The sequence below is a fragment of the Homo sapiens genome, chromosome 16 (genome assembly GCF_000001405.40).
Source record: "Homo sapiens chromosome 16, GRCh38.p14 Primary Assembly".
In the NCBI taxonomy this organism is placed as follows: Eukaryota; Metazoa; Chordata; class Mammalia; order Primates; family Hominidae; genus Homo; species Homo sapiens.
Window position 1 is genome coordinate 86,524,885 of NC_000016.10, and position 5,301 is coordinate 86,530,185.

Below are 5,301 nucleotides of genomic sequence, written 5' to 3' on the forward strand. Positions count from 1 at the left end.
GGCTGACATGGAATAACTATATAACCTGGCCTGGTTAATTCTGCGGCTTGGAGAAGTCTTCTTCAGATAATTCATCTTGGTGGGTTCATTTGGTTTCTGCACCAGTCAAAATCTGATTTTCTAAGGGGGACAAAGGAATAGATTCCTCTTGAAATTCAAGGTCTTGCTTATGAAGCCCTTTCCTATCCCAACATTATAAAGCCTTCTCTCCTACTTCTCTCCAAAGCAATGGTGTGGTCTCCACTCACTGCAACCTCCCCCTCCCGGGTTCAAGCGATTCTCCTGCCTTAGCCTCCGAGTAGCTGGGATTACAGGTGCCCGCCACCATGCCTGGCTAATTTTTGTATTTTTAGTAGAGATGGGTTTCACCATGTTGGCCAGGCTGGTCCTGAACTCCTGACCTCGTGATCCGCCTGCCTTGGCCTCCCAAAGTGCTGAGATTACAGGCATGAGCCACTGTGCCCGGCTGCCTCTTATATTTTCTGTTTGAATATTGAATTGGCCTGGGATTTATTTTTATGTGTGGCACAATTTAGAAATCCAAGTTGCACTCTCTCCTCCCACTGCCCAAGATGCTGAAAGGAAAGAAGGCTAAGGGGAAGAAGGTGGCTCCAGCCCCTGCTGTCGTGAAGAAGCAGGAGGCCAAGAAAGTGGTGAATCCCGTTTGAGAAAAGGCCTAAGGATTTTGGTATTGGACAGGACATCCAGCCCAAAAGGGACCTCACCTGCTTTGTGAAATGGCCCCGTTATATCAGGTTGCAGTGGCAGAGAGCCATCCTCTATAAGCAGCTGAAAGTGCCTCCTGCCATTAACCAGTTCACCCAGGCCCCGGACCACCAAATAGCTCCTCAGCTGCTTAGGCTGGCCCACAAGTACAGACCAGAGACAAAGCAAGAGAAGAAGCAGAGGCTGTTGGCCCGGGCCGAGAAGAAAGCTACCAGCAAAGGGGACGTCCCCACTAAGAGACCACCTGTCCTTTGAGCAGGAGTTAACAGTGTCACCACCTCGGTGGAGAACAAGAAAGCTCAGCTGGTGCTGATTGCACACGACGTGGAGCCCATTGAGCCAGTTGTCTTCCTGCCTGCCTTGTGTCGTAAAATGGGAGTCCCTTACTGCATTATCAAGGGGAAGGCAAGACTGGGCCGTCTAGTCCACAGGGAGATCTGTACGACTGTCGCCTTCACACAGGTGAACTCGGAAGACAAAGGTGCTTTGGCTAAGCTGGTAGCAGCTATCAGGACCGATTATAATGACAGATATGATGAGATCCGCCGTCACCGGGGCAGCAATGTCCTGGGTCCCAAGTCTGTGGCTCACATTGCCAAACGCAAAAAGGCAAAGGCTAAAGAACTTGCCACTAAACTGGGTTATATGTACACTGTTGAGTTTTCCGTACATAAAAATAATTAAAATAATACAAATTTTCCTTCAAAAAAAAATACAAGTTGCTTTTTTCATCCTTCAAAACAACAGCCAGTAGCTCTGAGTCTATCTCTGAAGAGGCAAATCCTTCCCCCATTTGAAATCACTGTCATGTCCCAGGTTCCCACCTGCTTGGAGACCCTGTCTTCCGTTCTCCTGATCTGCAGACACTCTGCTGCTTGCAGGCGGGAAGCTCCATCATCAGACCTGCATCCAGAGGCCAATCCCTTTTCCTTACCTGGGACTGTTCTTGAGTATTTCCTGTCCACCTTGTCAATTTCCATGAGCAATGCCTGGTGAGATTTTGCTGTTCGGTATGGAATGCCTTCGCGTAGGGAGAAGTAGCATCTTTCCAGTACCAAACCCTTCCCTCTGGAACACAACGTGTTTCTTGATTCAGATCTTTCCTTTCTCTCAGGAAAGTGTGACCATTTTATGCATATGAGACCATTTTATCCATATGAGTTTTTGTTGTTATTGGCTTAAACGTCTGCTAGTGAGTCGTGGAACTGCGTGTGACTTGCTCTGGCCCTCCACACCTTTTCACTGTGAAGTCACATCTTTCTTTAGCTGGTGCAAAGTTTTACTGTTGACTGTTTCCATTTCATGCTTTTTCCACCCCTATCCCATTTTGCACGGCTGTGGGGAAGAATCACGTGGCTCCATCTCTGCACTCTGTGTCTGTGTCATTGTGCCTTCAGCCCACTACTAAGTCTCTGTATTTTGTGATTTCAACTTTTTTTTTTTTTTCTGAGTCTCACTCTATTGCCCAGGCTGGAGTGCAGTGGTGTGATCTTGGCTCACTGCAACCTCTGCCTCCCGGGTTCAAGCAATTCTTGGGCCTCAGCCTCCCGAGTAGCTGGGATTACAGGCATGCGCCAACATGCCTGGCTAATTTTTGTATTTTTAGTAGAGACAGGGTTCCACCATGTTGGCCAGTCTGGTCTTGAACTCCTGACCTCAAGTGATCCATCCACCTCGGCCTCCCAAAGTGCTGGGATTACAGGTGTGAGTCACCACGCCTGGCCTGTGCTTTCAATTTCTAAGGAGTTTTTTCTTACCAGTCTATTCCCTTTTTAATGGAAACGATGGCCTCCGAGTCCCTTTGTGACTCCTGTATGAACATGTCCACCACGGCTAGCACGTGTCTCAAGATGCTGATGTTCGGCAGCTCCTTGTTGCCTGCTCGTATCTGTAGACGAGGCCCAGACTCCTGCCACAGGTGTGTGGAGAAGCCCTGGCTCAGATGCTGCCTCCGCAGCCCAGGGACGTCCTCCTGTCGTGTTTCTGAATGCTGGTGCGGTCTTGCCTTCCACACCGGGCTTGGCTGTGGCTTGCCACCGCCTGGTCTCCAGAACTCTCGTCTTACTGCTCACAGATTTTCTTTCTCCCTACACATCACGTCTTCTAATACAAATGTTGATGTTGTGAGTATGCATTTGTATTTTTAAAAACATCACCACCCCTCCTGCTGAGCTTTTTATTTCTGCTGTCTGCAGGCTCTGTTTAGGATCCTCACCCACCTCACAGGACTTCTATTTTTAGAGCTCATGTTTTCCTGTGTATTTTAAGATCAGAGCAGACACGAGCAAAAAATGACACATTTTCCTTTTTAAAAAACCTTTTTTTAAATAAAGTTTCGAGGACACTTCATCAACACAACTTTTTTTCATGGAAAACCGTCTCACATGTCTCAGGAGTAAGGAGCGGATGATGCCTGAGATTTTCTCGATTCCTGCAGTGAAGCTTTTTCACGATGTAGTTCCTTCACTTTGAGTCTCTCAAAGGCCCCATGTTGATCTGTTTTCTATTTATTCAATTGTATCGATTTCATATTTGCCCAGGAACGAGGCCCACGGGTGCTTCCTAGGTCTCGCGTTCCGACTTGCGTGTGGTGCAGGCTTTCAGAGCTCAACCCGGAGGGGCCCGTTTCCAGTTCAGTGACCGGCCATCTGAGGGCTGGGGAGGGGTGTGGCCAGGCTCACCCAGATGGGGAACTCAGGTCACACACGCCTCCACCTGTTTGGGTGAAGCCAGTGAGCTGGGGCCAGATGACACCTGACCTCCCTCCTGGAGCAGGAACGGAGGCTCCTTCCTGCGTTTCCCACCTGCTGTGCCCAAAGGAGCCTCCTAGAGCTCGCCCAGTGCTCCAGCTTCTCAGCCCACGTTCCCCAGGGCTCGGCTCCCGTGTCAGCCCTGTCACCTGGGAAATGGCTCCAGGGCCATCACCACCACTTCTGCCCCAGGGTCCACTCTTGACACAAGGGCACCAGGCAGGACCTCTGGCTGAGTCCTCAGTCTCACCCCTTTGGAGAGTGAAGTCCTCCGTCTGGGGGGCAATCAGTGGGTCTGGGGCGGCCAGGCCGACTGGCCTCAGCAGCGGGCGCACCGCTGAGCTGTGACCGTGCACCTCAGGCACATCGTTTCGGCTAACGTTCACACAACCCGCAGTGTGTGCTCCTACCGCACCCCCTTACAGATGAGCAATGGGAGGCTCAGAGGGATGAAGCAGCTGCCACCGCACACCCACCGCACCACACGGCGGCAGCACTGACGCTGAAAGCCACGTCTGCTGGCTTCCGAAGCTCCTGTTGTTAATCGTGGCTATGTTTCAAAACTGCAGAGAAGAAAGCCTGGAAATAAATAAGGGGCAATGTCAAGGTTGCCCAAGTGGTGCTCCTTCTTTATCCTTCTCATATTCTAAAATTTCTAGAAGGAATTAGACAACCAAAAAACCTAAGGGATGGGGACTAGTTAGTCTCAAAATAAACTCAGAATATTAGAACTGGTAAGAACTTTAGAAACCAAGGAGTTCAACCCCTTAAGCCAAAACCTGCACAGGTAGGTGACCTGCCCACAGCACCCACCTAGGACCACACCCCGCAGTGAGAGCTGGGCTACTGGGCTCCAGAGTCCAGCGCTCACTGTTGCAGAGCCAAAGGTATGTGTTCTGGAAACTGCAGCTGCAGATTCTGCACAAGTCTTTCTCATCCACTGGCAAAACCACGCCACCATTTAGGAAGATACCAAGATAGGACCCATGAATCACGACGGCTTCATTTAAAAGGGTACAGGCCGGGTACAGTGACTCATGCCTGTAATTCCAGCACTTTGGGAGGCCAGGGCAGGCAGATCACTTGAGGTCAGGAGTTGGAGAGCAGCCTGGCCAACATGATGAAACTCCATCTCTACTTAAAAAAAAAAAATTGGCCAGGCGTGGTGGTGCGCACCTGTAGTCCCAGCTACTCAGGAGGCTGAGACAAGAGAATAGCTTGAATCCAGGAGGTGGAGGTTGCAGTGAGCTGAGTTTGCACCCCTGCGCTCCACCCTGGGCAAGAGTGAGATTGTCTCAGAAAGAAGGGTACAGGCCAGGTACAGTGACTCATGCCTGTAATCCCGGCACTTTCGGAGGCCAAGGTGGGAGGATTGCTTGAGGCCAGACGTTTGAGACCAGCCTGGGCAACATAGGGAGACCCTATCTCTACTAAAAAATATTAGCTGGGCATGGTGGTGCACACCTGTCGTCCTAGCTACGTGGAGGCTGAGGAGGGAGGATGGCTCGAGCCTGGGGGTTCAAGGCTGCAGTGAGCTGTGATCACACCACTGCACTCCAGCCTGGGTGACAGAGTAAGACCCTGTCTCAAAAAATAATAATAACAGATATAAAAATAAGAGGGATGGTCTCAGCAGTTGTCAAGTGGTTGTCTTCCATTCTCCCCTTATCACGTGTGAGTGACACAATCCCGATGCTGAGCCGTGGGAACAAGAAGTTGGGTTGTTGAGCACCTGCCTCACTGCTGCCTGCTCACCACGCTCCTTGGGAACTGTCCCCACAGGCCTCCCTGGGAAGGACAGGGCAGTGAAAGGTGTGCAGGCTGA

General features: G+C 50.7%; 1 pseudogene, besides 1 other annotated feature; it reads left to right on the top strand.

Moving 5' to 3' along the window:
* On the top strand, positions 551–1,431 carry RPL7AP63 (ribosomal protein L7a pseudogene 63; annotated as a pseudogene).
* Positions 2,174–3,153: an enhancer, noted in NCBI's record as "H3K4me1 hESC enhancer chr16:86560664-86561643 (GRCh37/hg19 assembly coordinates)". NCBI's record gives its function as "activates a minimal SCP1, AML or CMV promoter by ChIP-STARR-seq in naive H9 embryonic stem cells {active_cell/tissue: H9 hESC(naive)}" and the evidence as "EXISTENCE:reporter gene assay evidence [ECO:0000049][PMID:30033119]".